The following is a 20,234-nucleotide window of genomic DNA, read 5'->3' as shown; positions in this document are numbered from 1 at the left end:
AATAAAATAAAACAAAACAAAATAAAATGCATTTTAAAAATTAAAAAAAGAGCCAAGCACGGTGGCTCACGCCTGTAATCCCAACACTTTGGGAGGCCTAGATGGGCAGATCACCTGAGGTCAGGAGTTCGAGACCAGCCTGAACAACATGGTGAAACCCTGTCTTTACTAAAAATACAAAACTTAGCTGGGTATGGTGGCTTATGCCTGTAATCCCAGCTACTGGGGAGGCTGAGACAGGAGAATCACTTGAACCCGGGAGGCAGAGGTTGCAGTGAGTCGAGATTGGGTCACTGCACTCCAGCCTGGGCAACAGAGCGAGACTGTTTCAAAAAAAAAAAAAAATTAAAAAGAGCACTTCTGGGAGTGAAAAAGAAAAACCTTGCTCTTGATGCCTAGAGAGCTGTGCTAGTTCCAAAGATAAAGCTTTTACTTTAGGCACCGACCTCAAATTAATCTTGTAGGAAAGTGTTTTGTCTTGTTTTGTTTTGTTTGTTTTTTGTTTTTTGAGACAGAGTTTTGCTCTTGTTGCCCAGGCTGGTGTGCAATGGGCGATCTTGGCTTACTGCAACCTCCGCCTCCCAGATTCAAGGGATTCTCCCGCCTCAGCCTCCTGAGTAGCTGGGATTACAGGTGCCGGACACCATGCCTGGCTAATTTTTGTATTTTTAGTAGAGATGGGGTTTCATCATGTTGGTCAGGCTGGTCTGAAACTCCTGACCTCGTGATCTGCCCGCCTTGGCCTCCCAAAGTGCTGGGATTACAGGTGTGAGCCACCGCACCCAGCCTTATTAATTATATTTAAGGCTATTCAAGTTTTCTTTTCTTTTCTCTTTTTTTTTTTTTTTTTTGAGACAGAATTTCACTCTGTTGCCCAGGCTGGAGTGCACCGGTGTGAACTTGGCTCACTGCAGCCTCCACACCCAGTAGCTGGGACTACAGGCGCACATCACCACACCCAGCTAATTTTTATAATTTTACTAGAGACGGGGTCTTGTCCTGTTTTCCAGGTTGGTCTTGCACTACTGCTGGCCTCATGTGATCCACCTGCCTCGGCCTCCTGGGATTAGCACTTTGGGAGGCCGAGGTGGATGGTTCACCTGAGGTCAGGAGTTCAAGACCAGCCTGTCCAACATGGTGAAACCCTGTCTCTACTAAAAATACAAAAAATTAGCCAGGCGCGGCGGTGGGCGCCTGCAATCCCCACTACTTGGGAGGCTGAGGCAAGAAAATCGCTTGAACCTGGGAGGCAGAGGCTGCAGTGAGCCGAGATTGCACAATTGTACTTCAGCCTGGGTAACAAGAGCGAAACTCCATCTCAAACAAAACAAAACAAAAAGAGAGAGAGAAAAAAAAAAAAACCACAAAGTGCCGGGATTACAGGTGTGAGCCCCTGTGCCCGGCCTATTCAAGTTTTCTATTTCTTCTTTTTTTTTTTTTTTTTTTTGAGACGGAGTCTCGCTCTGTCTCCCAGGCTGAAGTGCAGTGGCGCGCCAGCAGCACAAGGAAAGCAGCACCTTCCAGCTCTCCTCCGCCTTCTCCGCGAAGCCCCTGACCCTGCTCCCAGAACAGGGAGCGGAGAGGAGAAAGTCCTCGAGCCCCAGCTGGCACTCACCTGATGCCTTGGTGGCATCGTCAAATTCCACCTGGAAGAGGTAGCCAGTGTTCCAGATGTACAGGCAGGATGCCACGTCATAGGAGACCCTGAGTGGCTTCAGCCAGGGGTCATAGACGCTGTCCCTCCACTGGATGTTGATAGGAGACTGCCGGGTGCCCCCTGGCACGGAGACCGGGCCCGTCCAGAGTGGGTGCACTGCAGGGAGAGAGAAGGAGACCCCGAGTGAGGCATGAGCTTCATCCTGTGTCTTGGACGGATAGGGCAGAAACCTGGCCGCACGAGACCCCACAGGTACTGGCTCATGGGAAACAGACCCACGGGAAACGGGTGCGTGGGGGCCCCTGCGCAGCTGGACGCGCGTCCACAGGGTACTCGCCTGCTCCTCTCCTTTCCGCACCACTCGGGGACTTTCTTTCCCACCCAGAAGCAACTCCCTCTCGGCCCGTGCCGCCTGTGTTGATGGGTTTTTGACTTTTGTGTTGCCCTTGTCACAGAGTGGTCACAGGAAGTCTGGAGAGACCTTGGGGAGGGCAGGTGGGCGGAGGAGGGCCCTGTGGGGAAGGCAGGCTGAGTGCAGTGGGGCTCTTGTCTCTCGGGAAGGGCTTGAAACCTCCCTTCCCACTCACAGGTATCCCACCTAGTGGGTCCTGTGGAAACTGGAGCTGCTTTGGAAGTCTCACTCTCCAAGCCCTCTGGCAAGGAGGAAATGAGACCCCAGTGTGGAGAAAATTAAGCAGAGTGGCAGCCCCTTTACCCACTTCCTCGAGGCTCATTTCAAACTGCTTTGATTGTCATTTTTAAAGTTAAGAGCCATTAATCAAAAACAGTTCAGAGGTCAGAAACAGTGGCTCACGCCTGTAATCCCAGCACTTTCGGAAGCAAGGTGGGCAGATCGCCTGAGGTCAGGAGTTTGAGACCAGCCTGACCAACATGGCAAAACCCCATCTTTACTGAAAATGTAAAAATCAGCTGGGTGTGGTGGCGGGCGCCTGTAATCCCAGCTATTCGGGAGGCTGAGGCAGGAGAATGGCTTGAACCCAGGAGGCAGAGGTGATAGTGAGCCAAGATCGCGCCACTGTACTCCAGCCTGGGTGACAGAGACTCTGCCTCAAAAAAAAAAAAAAAAAAAAAAATGCAGAAAAACTTATGAGTGAAGAAGCAGCTGTCCCATGATTGCACCCCCTGGTGTGTGTCTGCCCAACTGTTCTCTGTGCAATAACCTCATGCGAAGAGAAAGCTGGATCTTTTATTTTTATTTTTCCTTAAGAGACAGGATCCTTGGGATATCCTGCTCTCGAAACCTTAGAGCAGCTTCCAAATACAGAGTCCCCTTGCTTGGGGATATCACCCCAGAGGCCTGGCGTGCCCTGTGGCTCCTGTCCTCACCTTAACAGGCCTGAGCTAAACCAGTTCTTAAAAGGGATTAAATGGAATAGTGCTTTTTTGAGATCAGGTCTCACTGTGCCACCCAGGCTGGAGTGCAGTGGTGCCAATCACTGCAGCCTTGAACCCCTAGGCTGAAGCAATCCTCCCACCTCAGCCTCCTGAGCAGCTGGACTACAGATAAACACCACCGTGCCTGGCTAACTTTTTCATTTTTTGTAGAGACGAGGTCTCACTATGTTGCCCAGGCTGGTCTCAAACTCCTGGCCTCAAGCGATTCTCCTGCCTGTCCCAAAGTGAGGCAGGCGTCTCCCAAAGTGTGAGATTAGAGGTGTGTACCACCAAACCCGGCCAGGATTTTTTATTTTAATGAACAAGGATTTTACTGTGTATATTATCCTGTAAGTTGCCTTTTTTCATTTAACATTGTGAACTCATTTTGTCAAAAATATATATATATACACAATTCTTTTTAATGGTGGTACATTTCCATTGTACAGTTATGACACAATTTTTAAAATCCATTATTTGGTGATGATATTTAGGTTATTTCCAACTTCTTGCAATTAAACAAAGCTGTGATGAAGTTGCTGTTCTTTCTCTGTATTCTCATCTGGATTATTTTCTTTTTTTTCTTTTTTTTTTTTGAGACGGAGTCTCGCTCGGTCACCCAGGCTGCAGTGCAGTGGTGCCATCTCAGCTCACTGCAACCTCTGCCTCCCAGGTTCAAGTGATTCTACTGCCTCAGCCTCCTGAGTAGCTCTATTACAGGCGCGCGCCGCCACACCTGGCTACTTTTGTGTATTTTTCATAGAGACGGGGTTTCACCGTGTTAGCCAGGATGGTCTCCATCTCCTGACCTTGTGATCCACCCGCCTTGGCCTCCCAAAGTTCTGGGATTGCAGGAGTGAGCCACCGCGCCTGACCATAGAGCAGCCTCTTCCTTTTCCTGTTGGGACCAGAGGCAGTGGCCGTGGGAGGGGCATTTAACATGGCCGCACAGACCTGAATGTAGACAGAACCCAGAAGCCACTGATGCCACAGAGGAGGCGCTCATCTAGACAGGAGACGCAGGCTTCCCTGGCTCACAGAGACACAGGATGTGGGAAGAGCGGGTAATTTTAGGTTCTGCTTGCTGAGCTGCACCAACAGGCCCACCAACAATGAAACACCCGCGTTGAACTCAGCGTGTGTCACTCAACAAAAGGATGGGCTCATTGCCACCTGCACGGAGGCGACGCCACCTGGATGCTGAATAGGCTTCCAATCTCCACACAGCCGACCCTGGTGCACAGCAACGTGGGTTCTGTGCTAATTCCAGTAGGGCTCCGATGGGAGGTAATACAAATGTTATCCTCTTTTTTTTTTTTTTTTTTTTTTTTTTTTGAGACGGAGTCTCGCTCTGTCGCCCAGGCTGGAGTGCAGTGGCACGATCTCGGCTCACTGCAAGCTCCGCCTCCCAGGTTCATGCCATTCTCCTGCCTCAGCCTCCCGAGTAGCTGGGACTACAGGCGCCCGCTACCACGCCCGGCTAATTTTTTGTATTTTTAGTAGAGACGGGGTTTCACCGTGTTAGCCAGGATGGTCTCGATCTCCTGACCTCGTGATCTGCCCGCCTTGGCCTCCCAGAGTGCTGGGATTACAGGCATGAGCCACCGCGCCCGGCCATTATCCTCTTTTTTAATCAGTCAACAAATATTTACAGAGCTGCTCCTATGGGTCAAGCCCTGGCCCAGGTGCAGGGGCATGGAATCAAAGACGCCAAGTCCCCTGCCCCAGGAGGCCAGTATTTGCCCCTAATTCACATGGGCACAGTCTGGAAGGAGACCCCCTCTCCCCAATGCATTCTCAGTCTCCAGGTTTGATGGTGGTTCAGCAAATCTCAAATTCCTTCCCCCTTGACCTCCATGGGAGGAGCTATCCCCTCCCCCATTGTCACTAGGCTTGGCCACCTGGTGACCTGCTTTGACCACTGGGACATTAGCAGACATGACGTGAGCAGTAGCTTGGAATACATGGGCACCGCTGGCCTCACCCTGTGAGTGCCTGCCCTCCGCCGTGAGAAGAACAGGCCTCAGGTGGCTGCAGAGGGAGGATGAGAGATGCAGTGAGCAGGCCTGGACCCACCCAGAGTGGGGAGCCCAGCCCAGCCACGCTCAGCCCGGGGGGAGCCAAACGCAAGAAGACTTACACACACCTGAGCAGGAATAGCCAGTAAAATGTCCAACAACGTGCAGCGGTGTGCTGGTTGAGGTTTAATAAGCCGTTCTCCCAGGAATTTAGAATCTTCAATTTCTAGGGTTTGCCAATGACTGTGGTGTAAACACTTTCACCATGGCCAATTTTAAGTTACCAACGTAATGTTGCTGATCACACACTTAGGAACAGATGGGCACTGCCAGTGCATGCCCTGAAACATGATTAAAAAACGCACTGAAACATGACTAGAAAACATGATTAAATGATCCCTAAAATTATTATTATTTTTTTTTCTTAGACAGAGTCTTGCTGTGTAGCCAAGGCTGGAGTGCAGTGGCCTGAGCAGGACTCACTGCAGCCTCAAATTCCTGGGGTCAGCGATCCTCCTGCCTCAGCCTCCCAAGTAGCTGGGATGATAGGTGTGTGCCACCATGTCCAGTTAATTTTTTAATTTTTTTTTTTTTTAGAGATGCGTTCTTGCTATGTTGCCCAGGCTGATCTTGAACTCCTGGGCTTGATCTGTCCTCCCACATCAGCCTCCCAAAATAGTGCTGGGATTATAGGCATGAGCCACCATGCCTGGTTCTGAAATTATCACTGAACGTTTTGTAACTCTTTGACTTTTCTCTCAAGGCCAAACCACCAGTGATTTTTCAATAATTTTTAGTAACAATATTCTTTTCCCAAATGAAATAATCTTCAGAATGCCCATAAATAAAACACCGACATAGAAGGATGAATTCCTTACGATGTTCCAATCTTCTCTGCTTGGCAGAATATTCTGTTCTTTGTGGAACTCTGAAATGATTTGGCAGAGCCCTCTGTTCACTGGGAACAGATTGAGGACCATGGTGTAAATGGATTTAGGTGCCGATACAGAATATGACTCTCTCTAGCACAAGATGTAAGAGGACATGTTGCCATAGTAAGAAATGGAATGCTACCTGCTGCCCACTGACAGGGAAATGCTTAAATAGACACAGGGCACCCACCGCTGCCTGTGTTAGCAACAGCAGCAGCTGGCGTCTAGCAAGGGCTTCCTGGAGCCATGTGCTGTCCCCAGCCTTTGCAGGCCCCACCTCGGACCCTTCTCCCAACGACACTGCGCAGTAAGCACCATTATCAACCCCCTGTTACAGACGACAAAACTAAGGCTGGGGGAAGTTAAGAAAGTCACAGAGGGGACAGCCGGGCGCAGTGGCTCACGCCTGCAATCCCAGCACTTTGGGAGGCCGAGGTGGGCAGATCACCTGAGGCTGGGAGTTCAAGACCACCCTGAGCAACATGGAGAAACCCTGTATCTACTAAAAATATAAAATTAGCCGGATGTGGTGGCGCATGCCTGTAATTCCAGCTACTCGGGAGGCTGAGGCAGGAAAATTGCTTGAACCTGGGAGGTGGAGGTTGCGGTGAGCTGGAGATCGCACCACTGCACTCCAGCCTGGGCAACAAGACAGAAATTAGTCTCAAAAAATAAAGGAAAGTCACAGAGGGGCAACAGCCATAGAGCAGTGGGGCCAAGATTCCACCTAGGCAGGCTAGCGCTCTTAACGGTTGTACTAAGAATAAAAAAGGGAGGTGGGTGAGGTGACTCATGCCTGTAATCCCAGCACTTTAGGAGGCCGAGGCAGGTAGACCACTTGAGGTCGGGAGTTTGAGACCAGCCTGGCCAACATGGCGAAATCCAATCTCTACTAAAAATACAGAAATTAGTTGGGCGTGGTGGCACACGCCTGTAGTCCCAGCTACTTGGGAGGCTGAGTCAAGAGGATCGCTTGAACCCAGGAGGCAGAGGCTGCAGTGAGCCGAGATCGCACCACTGCACTCCAGTCCACAGGTGTGGACCCCAACAGAAGGAATGAGTGGAGCTCACCGACAGTTTGGGGTGGGCCAGGCTTTCTACATGCATCATGTCATCCTTCCATGGCCCTGGAGAGAAAGTCTGGCCACCCCCATCTCGAGATGAGGACACAGAGGTTTGGGGGTGAAGACCTGCCGAAGCTCCACCTCAGCAAGCGTCAGTAGCACCGCATGCCTGGGGTCTGGCTCCTAAGCCCATGCTCTTTCAATGGCCCAAACATGGAACGCGTGGAAGATTTGAGTTAGAAGAGAACTTGGCAGCTGCCAAAGCAGCCTCTCATTCTACGGAGGAAGCACCTGAGACCCAGAAAGAGGAAGGGCCTCGTCCAAGGTCACAAGGCACTGACCGTGAAGCCAGGAGGGGCTGGCATGGGGCAGTTTCTTGGCAGAGTTGGCTGAGTGGTTTATTTGCTACAGGTTTGCTTGGAAGCGTTCTTTGCCGAAGAGTTTAGGAGCGATCGTGACTGGTTAGTGCAAGCCATTCCGCCGGGTCTGGATGGTGAGTCATGCCAGTGTGTCCTGTGCGAACACGGACTACCCGCCTGCTCCCGGCATCTTGCCCTCCCCAGGACCCCTGAAACGGAGGCTAAACGATTCACCCAAGGTCACCAAATACAAGAGAAAAGGAGTGTGGCCAGGCACGGTGGCTCATGCCTGTAATCCTAGCACTTTGGGAGGCTGAGGTGTGTGGATCACCTGAGGTCAGGAGTTCGAGACCAGCCTGGCCAACATGGTGAAACCCCATCTCTACCAAAATACAAAAAATTAGCCGGGTGCGGTGGTGGGTGCCTGTAGTCCCAGTTACTTTGGAGGCTGAGGCAGGAGATTCACTTGAACCTGGGGGGCAGATGTTGCAGTGAGCCGAGATCATGCCATTGCACTATAGCCTGGGCAAAAGAGCAAAACTTCATCAAAAAAAGAAAAAAAGAGGGCCGGGCGTGGTGGCTGACGCCTGTAATCCCAGCACTTTGGGAGGCTGAGACGGGCGGATCGCGAGGTCAGGAGTTCGAGACCAGCCTGGCTAACGTGGTGAAACCCTGTCTCTACTAAAAATACAAAAAATTAGCCAGGAGTGGTGGCATGCGTCTGTAGTCCCAGCTAGTCAGGAAGCTGAGGCAGGAGAATCGCTTGAACCCGGGAGGTGGAGGTTGTGGTGAGCCGCTGAGATCGCGCCACTGTACTCCAGCCTGGGCCATAGAGCGAGACTCCATCTTAAAAAAAAAAAAAAAATAGAAACAGAGTGGAAATCTGAACCCGTGTGGCTCGGGATGGTCTCTACTCTCTCATCTTGAAAGACCCCATCAGCTAAGACAAGGATCCAGTTGCATTTGGGAAATTTGAGGCTCTACTTACAAGTGTTACTGCTGGTTCGCCGCGCACAGGAACGCTGAGAACACCATCACCCTGGCCTCATCGAACGACTCCAGAGAGGGGCCCACATCTGCTCAACCCAGGAGAAAGCTGAGGTCTTCCAAGTGTTCTTCCCCAACATCTTAGGTCTGTTCCCACTGACTCCAATCTGAAGAGGGTGATGTTCCCTGCTGTCTGTTCTCACTTTGATCAGGACCACTGTGGACTGGCGTGTACCCACCTCTTTTTGTAGAAACTCATCCCAATCCCTGAGCCTAATGGTTAAAGTTCAACCCATGCCTTTCCCAATGGGGTGGGTCCACAGGGACTAGTGGCCTCTGCTGGGGACAGGCCGCTCAGGTCACTGGGCTTTGATCTGGCAAACAGGAGCACAAGTCTGCCAGGGAGCTACAAAAACTTTACGGTGGGGCTGTGTGAGCACCAGGGGATTACGCGGGGGGTGGGGGCGAGTGGATGAGAGCAGAGTCCCGGTTTCTTTCATGGGGTTGACCCTGTGGTTTGGGGCTCCGGGACACTCAGTACCAGGCACAAAGCCACGGTGTGCGTGTGAGGAGGGACTGACAGGCAGGCTCAGAAGTACAGGAATGGGACTGGCCAAAGCGCTGCTGGGTAGACAGGCTGGGGGAGCAGGGAGCTTCTGTCCACCCACCAGGGCTCCTGAAGTCACAGAGTCCTTGCTTGCCTCAAAATAGGTGCGATTTGATTCATTCATCCTCCCCGGAAACAAGATGCCCTGTGGCTTGGGACACTTCCAGGTCATGCCGGCTGTCTTGGCATAAACATTAACGGGGCCACCTTTCTTTCTTTCTTTTCTTTTCTTTTTTTTTTAGGCAGAGTTTCACTTCTGTTGCCTGGGCTAGAGTGCAATGGCGTGATCTCAGCTCACTGCAACCTCTGCCTCCCAGGTTCAAGCAATTCTCCTGCCTCAGCCTCCTGAGTAGCTGGGATTACAGTTGCCCACCACCATGCCCAGCTTCGCCGTCCAAGAGCCTGGGGCCGTGGGGGGCGGGGCTGCCTGCTATCGGCCCCGCCCCGCCGACAGGACCCGCCTCTCTCCCCAGGCCCGGCGGGGCCGACCCCGCCTCTCGCTCCCAGCTTGCCGTACGACAGCGGCGGCGCGGCGGGCGGAGCCGGGAGGCGGGGAAGCAGTGGCCGTGTGAGCGTGAGGAGCTGCCGCCACCGCCTGCTCCTCGTCCTCCTCGTCCTCCGGGGCCCCAGCGTCGTGGGCCGCGCACGGCCCTGGAAGAGACGTCGCCTCGCCTTCATCCGCCTCTCTCACCGCGCCGCTCCCTCGTCCTGCCCTGCGGGCTCAGGCGGAACCCGGAACGGCCGTCCTCTTCCCCCGCCCTCCGCCGCCGCCTCCTCCTCCTCCTTCTCGGCTTCCTCCTCAGCCCCGGGCCGGAGCGGGGTGTCGGCGGCGGCCGGTTCGGGCGGCGGCGCTTGGCCATGTCGTGTCGGGGAAGGTAATGAGCCGCAGAGCCCCGGGGTCTCGGCTGAGCAGCGGCGGCACCAACTATTCGCGGAGCTGGAATGACTGGCAACCCAGGTGGGTGACCGGCCCGGGACCCCGCCCCGACCTCCCGGGCTCCGCCTCGGGCGGGCCGAGGCCTAGGGCCGCGGGGCTGGGAGGCGCGGCCTAGGCCCTCCACCCACCGGAGCCGGGCGCGGCTTCCTGGGTCTCCTCCTCCCCGGCTAGGGGAGGAAGGCCGCGGGGAGGCGAGGCCTAAGTGCCTCTCCCCTCCCTGCTTGTTCAGCCCGGGGCTGAAGCCGAGCCCCGGGGCTCCCGGCGGTGGCACTGACCTAGGGTCGGGACCAGGAGGTGAGAAAGAGGCGGGGGTGGTGGGGGGGGCATTCCACTTACCGCCTCCCCCTGACCCCGAGTTGGGAGATCCTGAGAGTCCAGGACCCTCCCTGTTACTCATTCACTTTCTCGGTTCCCCAGTCTTTCAGCCGCCACGTGAGAGCTCTTGTAGCCTCTGTTCCTTTCTGTGACCCCCACATGTTAATATTGAAAAAACCAAAACAAAACTCCAGCCAAGGCATTGCTCTGACTTTAGGCAGAACATTCATTAGTGGAGCATGAGATGAGATTGTGTGACTGTTGATGGGATCGACCCACTCTGGTCTTGGGCGATGGAAGTTTTCCCTAAGTGCAAGGCCGGTTACTCTGGTGAATCGTAATTCATACCTGGACACTTGAGTGAACTCTTTGGGCACCCACTTAGAAGTCTAGAGAATTTCCTCTTTTATGGAGGATTTGATCTCAGACCGTTTTGGGGCTTAGTTAGATTTGAATATATTAGGAACATTAACTTTTTAAATAAATGTAATTTCCTATCTTTTTGATCAATGGGGGGAGGGTAGCTGTGCCTAATTTAGGATTGATTTATTCTAACCTCTCTTACTAAATAAATGCTTGTATTCAGAGTCTGTTTGGAATTTAACCCAATGCTTAGAACTCCTTAAATATACAGAAATATATTTTAGGGGCAATTGATTCATGGAACTCTCCTGCTTTGGAGCACAATTGTATTATAATTGTCCGGAAACTGGCCAGATAATGTAGAACGCACAAGTTGTTGAGAAGCCCTTTTGTTTCCTGATAGTTACATGTAATTCCAGCAGTATTTGGAAATAATTTGCTAAGATGTTAGAATGTAACATTTGAAGACTCATTAGAAAAATCAATAAAATTATCTTTGGCTAATGGGTAGTACACATCTTAGTCTGTTTAATATGCCTTTCCAAAAAAAACTGTGTCTGTTGAGAATTGGTGTATATAACTAGATGACTTTAATAATTAGTGCCTGAGTCTAGAATTGAGATGTTTAGTCGTAAAAAAAAATATTGTTCGATAAACAGCGTTGGCTTGTCTTGTACCACTTAAGAGTTTGTGAGTGCTTTAAATAAAATTAGTTAAGTATTTTTCTTCCTATGATTGACATGCTTAGTTTTGCCTTTTTATTGAAATGTGTGAAATTTGATTATCTGGCATCTAACAAATCAGGTGGTAAATGAATGACAATGGATTTTCTATTATTTTTCAGTATTGTGATCAGTATAAGTATATAAGAGAATTTAGTAACCTTTTAGAAGAATAAAGTGCCTTCCCAAATAGTCCTACAGCTTTTGTAAAGTGTAAATTGTAGTTTATAGTTCTAAATAAATAGAGAAGAGTCGCAGCCACGTGCTAGGGCCAGCTGACTTCATTGCTGACAGGTATGAAGCCAAATGGCTTATGTAGTTATGGAATATGTACATGAGCTATTAATAAATATTATCCATGTTGTTTCTTTCAAGTGCTTTATTTCTCGGCTCTGGGGAGGGGCGATGTGGGAAGGGAGGAGCTTACAAGAAAGCTTGCAAGGTTTCTTTGAAGCTGTGCTTTTTGTAGGAAAGTTTCAGGATGTAACGCCTTGGTAGACGATACTGTGATACATTTGGTTACAGGGAGTAACAGTTTGTTAGGATGTTGGAAAGATTTGATTTTCTCCTGTTGTAGAGGGAACAGGGAAGTGTGGACATACCCCATAGCATAACTTGATTTGTTGCTAAGATTGTCATAGCTGATTTGTTAGTCAATAAAAATACCTGGGGTGTTTGCCAAGTCATAAATTTTTATTAGTTAAATTTGAGGTGATTCCGTCCCCTATTCCGAAAGATGACAGACTCCAGGTAACTGACGGAATGGATCTTGATCTTGCTTCTTACTTAAATGAAGGTTTAGAACATCTTCAGATGCAGGCACATTTATTATGGTTCATCTGAATAATTTTGGTGAAAATTTTTTTGCCTCTTATGTACCATTTTGTCCCTGGTGTTTTGGTTCTGTTTTCCTTGATGTAGGCTTTTTTTTTTTTTGTCTTCCTGAGATGGAGTCTTGCTCTGTCTCCCAGGCTGGAGTGCAGTGGTGTAATCTCGACTCACTGCAGCCTCTGCCTCCTGGTTACAGGGAAAAATTCTCCTGCCTCAGCCTCCTGAGTAGCTGGGATTACAGGCGTCCAGCTAATTTTTGTATTTTTAGTAGAGACGGGATTCCACCATGTTGGCCGGCCTGTTCTTGGACTCCTGACTCAGGTGATCCGCCTGCTTTGGCCTCCCAAAGTGCTGGGATTACAGGTGTAAGTCACCGCACTCAGCCGATTTAGGCTTTTGAAAAAGCAATACTTGTTGATTTCTTTTAGTGTTAGTTTGCCAGTTGGTGTGGAAAATGACTGTTGAGTCAATTTTGACCACACATGATACTTCACACATACTGACAAGAAGTGTTCCAGGTGGCTGAATACGTGAATGTCATATGGCAAGAGAGCAAACCCGTGTTCCATAGAAGCATACCTCCAACAGTAAGCATTTATATGGCACTGGCTTATAGTCTTCCTTTTCATTCACTGTGCTCTCAGTCAACTCTTCTGTCAATTTTTTTGAGACAGGGTCTTGCTGTGTCACCCAGGCTGGAGTGCAGCGGCACAGATACTTGGCTTACTGCAGTCTCGACCTCCCAGGCTCAAGCCTCCTGCCTCAGCATCCACAAGTAGCTGGGGCTACAGGCGCTTGCCAACAGCCTGGCTCATTTTTGTATTTTTTGTAGAGATGGGGTTTTCACCACGTTGCCCAGGCTGGTCTTGAACCCCTGAACTCAAGCAATCTGCCCACCTTCAGCCTCCCAAAGTGTTGAGATTACAGGTGTGAGCCACCGCACCCGACATTTAAGAATGGTTAATAGGCCGGGGGCAGTGGCTCACGCCTGTAATCCCAGCACTTTGGGAGGCTGAGGTGGGTGGATCACCTGAGGTCACGAGTTCAAGACCAGCCTGGCCAACCGACATGGTGAAACCCCGTCTCTACTAAAAAAAATAAATAAATAAATTAGCGGGATGTGGTGGTGCATGCCTGTAATCCCAGTTACTCGGGAGGCTGAGGCAGGAGAATCACTTGAACCTGAGAGGCGGAGGTTGTAGTGAGCGACATCACACCACTGCACTCCAGCCTGGGCAACAGAGCAAGACTCCTTCTCAAAAAAATAAAAATAAAAAATTAAAAAAAGAATGGTTAAACAAATGAGTGGTCTTAGGTCAGTTGTATTATTTGAAATCTGTGGGTTCCTCAGGCATAAAGTTGAGAAGGTTTTGGGAACCACTGGATGCCTCTGGGTTTTTTCATATGAAGAAACAGGGGTGGTGGCTTCTTAGAACAAAGGGATATCTGACCTATGGAGGTTGCCCTCTTTACTCCTCTTCCCTAAAAAAATGACCTATCATTGCCAATAGCTAAAGTCTGTCATTTTTTCCACCTTAGTTTGGAAGATAATCTTCTAGTATCAATCAAGACAGAGATCAGAATGATGTGTTTTAAAATTAAATGTGTAATTCATAATTGTACATTTTAATATTCTAAAGTGACATTGATTAATTTGACATTGGAGTCAAATAGATTGATTAATTCAACAAAAGAGAAGGCATTCAAGTCAACAGAAAACAAGTAGATTTTACTTTTCCACTCGGGGTATTAGGACATTAATTGTGTAATTGGTCTTACTTGTTTAGTAGTAGATCTGTATTGAGTGTCTTACTGTGCCCAAACTTAGGATCTTTCTGTATTTCTAAAAGGATGAAACTGTATAATAAAAACACCTTCCAATTTTGGTAGATTGTAGACAGAGCAGAGTATTCAAAAGTATACACATCTTCTCTATTGTGAAAGACCAAAAAATGGAAATATGTTGTGAAATTAGAAAAGCTGTATACTAGTATGTCTGATGTTGTGAGAAGCTGGATTTTTGAAACCAGAGTTGTCTATTCAGCCTTTTATCAGTCTGTAGTAAGTTTGATGTCCATAGGTACATAATATAGGGAAATACATAAAGGATAAAATTAAGTGAAGTTACATATTTTATACGTATTAGGTGGGTGCAAAAGTAATTGCAGTTTTGGCAAAAACCGCAGTTACTTCACACCAGTCTAATTTTAAATGGAACTAGAGTCAAATAGAATTTAGCGATTGCCAGTTCTGTTCCACAGATTTCAAAGTACACTAAGGAAAATTTCAGCAAATTGTGTATGGCAGTTTTACTTGGAGGAGAGTAAAACAGCCATAATAAACTAAAAAATAAAAATTAAAACTAAAGGAACGTTTGTTTTTATGTTTTTCTTTTCTTTTCTTTCCTCTTTTTTGAGATATGCTCTTGCTCTGTTGCCCAGGCTGGAGTGCAGTGGTGCAGTCACTGCTCACTGCAGCCTTGACTTCCTGGGCTCTGGGAATCCTCCCGCCTTAGCCTCCTGAGTAGCTGGGACCACAGGTGCATACCACCACACCTGACTAATTTATTTATTTTTCCTCTCTCTCTCTCTCTTTTTTTTTTTGAGACAGAGTTTTACTTTGTCGCCCAGGCTGGAGTATAGTGGCACAATCTCAGCTCACTTGCAACCTCCACCTCCTGGTTCAAGTGATTCTCCTGTCTCAGCCTCCCAAGTAGCTGGGAATACAGGTGCATGCCACTATGCCCGGCTAATTTTTGTGTTTTTAGTGGAGATAGGATTTCACCATGTTGGCCAGGCTGGTCTTGAACTGCTGACCTCAGGTGATCCACCCGCTTCGGCCTCCCAAAGTGCTGGGATTCCAGGCGTGAGCCACCACGCCTGGCCGCCTCTCTCTTTTTCTGAAACAGAGTCTCACTTCATTGCCCAGGTTGGAGTGCAGTGGAACCATCTCAGCTCACTGCAGCCTCCACCTCCCAGGCTCAATAAGTCCTCCTACCTCACCCTCCCAATAGCTGGGACCACAGGTGCATGTCACCACCCCCAGCTACTTTTTTTTGTTTTCTGTAGAGACGGGGTTTTGCCATGCTGCCTGGGCTGGTCTTGAATACCTAGGCTCAAGTGATCCTTCCTCCTTGGCCTCCTAAAGAGCCAGGATTACAGGTGTGACCCACCATGCTTGGCACGCTAATTTTTTATTTTTATTTTTTTGTAGACGTGGGGCCTCCCCATGTTGCCCATGCTGGTGTCAAACTCCTACTCCATTATGAAATAAGTCATTCCTTATGAAACACTTAGTAATTGTATCTTTAAGTTGAACCTTCCCCTCACTCCAACTTTTTTTTTTTTTTTTTTTTTTTTTGAGACGGAGTTTTACTCTTGTTGTCCAGGCTGGAGTGCAATGGTGCAATCTTGGCTCACTGCATCCTCCGCCTCCCAGGTACAAGCTGTTTTCCTGTCTCAGCCTCCCAAGTAGATCAGATTACAGGCATGTGCCACCACACCTGGCTAATTTTTTTTATATTTAGTAGAGACGGGGTTTCACCGTGTTAGGCTGGTCATGAACTCCTGACCTCAGGTGATCCACCTGCCTCGGCCTCCTAAAGTGCTGGGATTACAGGTGTGTGCCACTGCACCCCGCCTTTTTTTTAAAGACATAGTTTCACTCTGTCTCCCAGGCTGGAGTGCAGTGGCACGATCTTGGCTCAGTACAACCTCCACCTCCTGGGTTCAAGTGATTCATGTGCCTCTGCCTCCCGAGTAGCTGGGACTACAGGCGCATGTCACCAAGCCCGGCTAATTTTTGTATTAGAGACAGGGTTTCGCCATGTTGGCCAGGCTGGTCTCGAACTCCTGACCTCAAGTTCCCACCTTGGCTTCTCAAAGTGCTGGGATTACAGGAGTGAGACACCGTGCCTGGACCCCCCAACCCATTTTGTTTTGATTCCTTTATAAATTAGTATAATGGAGGGTTTTTTTGTTTGTTTTTTATAACAGGTAATGAAATACTCTAATTCAGTAAATATTGATGCTTCTAGGGAGATGTGTGTGTGTGTGTGTGTGTGTGTGTGTGTGTGTGTATGTATATATATATAAATTTTTTTTTTTTTTTTTTTTTGAGATGGAGTGTCGCTCTGTCGCCCAGGCTAGAGTGCAGTGGTGCAATCTCGGCTCACTGCCAGCTCCACCTCCTGGGTTCACGCCATTCTCCTGCCTCAGCCTCCCGAGTAGCTGGGATTGCAGGTGCCCGCCACCACGCCTGGCTAATTTTTTGTATTTTTAGTAGAGATGGGGTTTCACCATATTAGCCAGGATGGTCTTGATCTCCTGACCTCGTGATCTGCCCGCCTCGGCCTCCCAAAGTGCTGGGATTACAGGCATGAGCCACTGCGCCCGGCCATAAATTTTTTTTTTTTGAGATGGGGTCTCGCTTTGTTGCCCAGGCTGAAATGCACTGGTGCAATCTTGGCTCACTGCAACCTCGGCCTCCTGGGTTCAAGCGATTCTCCTGCCTCAGCCTCCCGAGTAGCTGGGATTACAGGCATGTGCCCACTACTCCTGGGTAATTTTTGTATTTTTAGTAGAGACGGGGTTTCACCATGTCGACCAGGCTGGTCTCGAACTTCTGACCTCAAGTGATCTGCCTGTCTTGGCCTCCCAAAGTGCTGGGATTACAGGCACAAGCTACTGCACTGGGCCATGGCCAGGATTTTTATGACTTGTAAAACCACTGTCTTCAAGGAGGCTATAAGTTATTATGGGAGAAAAGTAAAGGGCTTTGTAAAGGGGAGAGCATGTGGATTTTGTGATGTAATTCTCAGTATACCTTCCTTCCTTCCTTTCTTTCTTTTTTTTTTGAGACAGTCTTGCTCTGTCACTTAGGCTGGAGTGCAGTGGCATGATTGACAGGGTTTCGCCAGGTTGGCCAGTCTGGTCTTAAACTCCTAACCTCAGGTGATCTGCCCGCCTTGACCTCCCAAAGTGCTGGGGTTACAGGCCAACATGGTGAAACCCCGTCTCTACTAAAAATACAAAAATTAGCTGGATGCAGTGGTGGGCGCCTGTAATCCCAGCTACTTGGGAGACTGAGGCAGGAGAATCGCTTGAACCCAGGAGGTGGAGGTTGCAGTGAGCCAAGATCATGCCATTGCACTCCAATTTGGGTGACAGAGTGAGACTGTCTCAAAAACAAAAACAAAAACCTGGAGGGTTAGAGGAGGGAAATGGGGTGATGGAATTGGTCTGTACAATTTTCACTGTGAATTTGGGGGAGAATCCCCCCCAAAATAGAAGAAAATTAGGATAAGGCCAGGTGCAAATTGTCAGTGTGTAGAGGAATTGGGTACTTATGAGGAGTAATACAAATAAGAGGTGAAGCTGAAGCACTGGGTTGGGGACCCTATTGTAGACCTTTAATCATAGTTCAGGTGTTTTTTTGTTTGTTTGTTTGTTTGTTTGTTTTTGGAGACAGAGTTTTTGCTCTTGTTGCCCAGGCTGGAGCACAATGGTGCCATTTTGGCTCACTGCAACCTCCGCCTCCCGGGTTCAAGCAGTTCTCCTTCCTCAGCCTCCCAAGTAGCTCTAGGGATTACAGGCACGCACCACCACACCTGGCTAATTTTTTGTATTTACTAGAGACGGGGTTTCACCATGTTGGTCAGGCTTGTCTTGAACTCATGACCTCAGGTGATCCACCCATCTCGGCCTCCCAAAGTGCTGGGATTACAGGCGTGAGCCACCACCCTGGCCCAGTTTAAGTGTATTTGGAGTGACTTTAGGGAATCATTGAAATTTTACCTGCCGGAAAGTGGCACAATTTAGGAAGATTAAATCTAGTTGCTTCTTGAAAAAGTGTGTGGGCTGGCCGTGGTGGCTCATGCCTGTAATCCCAGCAGTTTGGGAGGCTGAGGTGGGTGGATCTCCTGAGGTCGGGAGTTCGAGACTAGCCTGACCAACATGGAGAAACCCCGTCTCTACTAAAAATACAAAATTAGCCGAGTGTGGTGGTGCATGCCTGTATTCCCAGCTACTCGGGAGGCTGAGGCAGGAGAATTGCTGGAACCTCGGAGGCCGAGGTTGTGGTGAGCTGAGATTGCGCCGTTGCACTCCAGCCTGGGCAACAAGAGCAAGACTCCGTCTAAAAAAAAAAAAAGGAGTGTGTGTGTTAGAGTGCGTGCACACACGTGCAGGAGAGATCGCAGTGGGAGGCAGTTAATTGGAACAATATAGAGAAGGGGCTGCTAAGGACCTGAGTATTATGTTTATATTTAACAATTTAAATTAAGATAAGGCTGTGTATGGTGGCTCACACCTGTAATCCCAGCACTTTGGGAGGCCAAGGTGGGTGGATCACCTGAGGTTGGGAGAGACCAGCCTGACCAACGTGGAGAAACCCCGTGTCTACTAAAAATACAAAAATTAGCCGGGCGTGGTGGCATATGCCTGTAATCCCAGCTACTTGGGAGGCTGAGGCAGGAGAATCACGTGAATCCGGGAGACGGAGGTTGTGGTGAGCCGAGATCGAGCCATTGCACTCCAGCCTGGGCAGCAGGAGCGAAACTCTGTCTCAAAAAATAAATTAATTGGCCGGGCGCGGTGGCTCACGCCTGTAATCCCAGCACTTTGGGAGGCCGAGGCGGGCGGATCACGAGGTCAGGAGATCGAGACCATCCCGGCTAAAACGGTGAAACCCCGTCTCTACTAAAAATACAAAAAAATTAGCCGGGCGTAGTGGCGGGCGCCTGTCGTCCCAGCTACTTGGGAGGCTGAGGCAGGAGAATGGCGTGAACCCGGGAGGCGGAGCTTGCAGTGAGCCGAGATCCCGCCACTGCACTCCAGCCTGGGCGACAGAGCGAGACTCCGTCTCAAAAAAAAAAAAAAAATAATAATAAATAAATAAATTAATTAATTAATTAAGGTAAAAGTGTTCAGCTCAATATGTGAGAATTTCCATAAGCAAAAGCCCCTCATTTGTTATCTGGTGTTGATTGAGGATGATTACTAAAGTGATACCTTTTATCTGCTCAATCTTCATGTTAGACACATGTATGGAATGTCATTTAAGTGTCATATAAAATGGAGTGTGGTCCATGGTGTCTGTTGGGAACATTGAATTGTTAAATTCTTTAGGATTTTCTGCCTTTGTTACCTGGCTCTTGTTCCTTATCCTAATCGCCTAAAACAAATCCCTGAGGCTCCTTTCATTGGACCACCCTTAATGATTTAGAGGAGCTGTTGTTTGTTAATCTTTTCACATTGTCATCATTTTGGTTACCTGTCTTTGACTATCTTGAAGTTTTTCAGAGCCCATTTTATTTTTGGAACTATAAAATGAAACATACTTCCCCTTGTATAGAGGCCTAACAGTAAAGAGTACAGAAATTTTGTGGTTTCATATGTATAGGAAATGCTCCCTTATTCTGAGTTTTTGTTTTTTGTTTTTTTTTTAATGTAGAGTATAACTTACTAAATTCTTGTGGAGTTCGCTCATGCAGAGATACTTGGTTTTATAATGTTATTCTTTTCCATCTTGTATTAATCGAGTGTACTTTTCCTTTTTAAATTGAATTCGTTTTTGAATTCTATTGTGGTGCTTCTTTGAGATAAAATTTATGTATGTATAGGTGGTGGTGTTTTTTCTTTTTTTCTTTTTTTCTTTTGAGATGAAGTCTCGCTCTTATCCCCCAGACTGGAGTGCAATGGTGCGATCACGACTCACCGCAACCTCCGCCTCCCGGGTTCAAGTGATTCTCTTGCCTCAGCGCCCCAAGTAGCTGTGATTACAGATGCCTGCCACCACGCCTGGCTAGTTTTTGCACTTTTAGTAGAGATGGGGTTTCACCATGTTGGCCAGGCTGGTCTGGAACTCCTGACCTCAGGTGACCCATCCGCCTCGGCCTCCCAAAGTGCTGGGATTACAGGCGTGAGCCACCACGCCCGGCCTGTATAGGTCTTAAATTCAGTAAATTTTGACAAATGTATACACCTGTGTAACCATGACCTCAGTCAAGGTACAGATATGCAGTGACTTTTTCACTATCACACCCATT

The 20,234-nt window shown here is 48.7% G+C and overlaps 2 pseudogenes across 1 annotated transcript in view, besides 4 other annotated features; one reads left to right on the top strand and one right to left on the bottom strand.

The window, feature by feature from the left end:
- LOC100421031 (carbonic anhydrase 5A pseudogene) lies at window positions 1,609-8,631 on the bottom strand (annotated as a pseudogene).
- Window positions 1,789-2,290: an enhancer, noted in NCBI's record as "H3K4me1 hESC enhancer chr16:30353983-30354484 (GRCh37/hg19 assembly coordinates)". NCBI's record gives its function as "activates a minimal SCP1, AML or CMV promoter by ChIP-STARR-seq in naive H9 embryonic stem cells {active_cell/tissue: H9 hESC(naive)}" and the evidence as "EXISTENCE:reporter gene assay evidence [ECO:0000049][PMID:30033119]".
- Window positions 9,021-9,120: an enhancer, noted in NCBI's record as "active region_10696". NCBI's record gives its function as "activates an Ori minimal core promoter by ATAC-STARR-seq in GM12878 lymphoblastoid cells {active_cell/tissue: GM12878}" and the evidence as "EXISTENCE:reporter gene assay evidence [ECO:0000049][PMID:35858748]".
- Window positions 9,351-10,170: a silencer, noted in NCBI's record as "silent region_7362". NCBI's record gives its function as "represses an Ori minimal core promoter by ATAC-STARR-seq in GM12878 lymphoblastoid cells {active_cell/tissue: GM12878}" and the evidence as "EXISTENCE:reporter gene assay evidence [ECO:0000049][PMID:35858748]".
- SMG1P5 (SMG1 pseudogene 5) overlaps window positions 9,578-20,234 on the top strand; it is a 50,357-nt pseudogene continuing 39,700 nt past the window's right edge. Inside the window, exon 1 of the transcript NR_002453.5 lies at window positions 9,578-9,977. The product of NR_002453.5 is annotated as an SMG1 pseudogene 5 (transcript). The remainder of the gene's footprint in view (window positions 9,978-20,234) is intronic.
- Window positions 19,853-19,902: a silencer, noted in NCBI's record as "silent region_7361". NCBI's record gives its function as "represses an Ori minimal core promoter by ATAC-STARR-seq in GM12878 lymphoblastoid cells {active_cell/tissue: GM12878}" and the evidence as "EXISTENCE:reporter gene assay evidence [ECO:0000049][PMID:35858748]".

Source organism: Homo sapiens, chromosome 16, assembly GCF_000001405.40.
Source record: "Homo sapiens chromosome 16, GRCh38.p14 Primary Assembly".
Taxonomy (NCBI): domain Eukaryota; kingdom Metazoa; phylum Chordata; class Mammalia; order Primates; family Hominidae; genus Homo; species Homo sapiens.
This window is presented reverse-complemented; position numbering and strand designations above follow the sequence as displayed.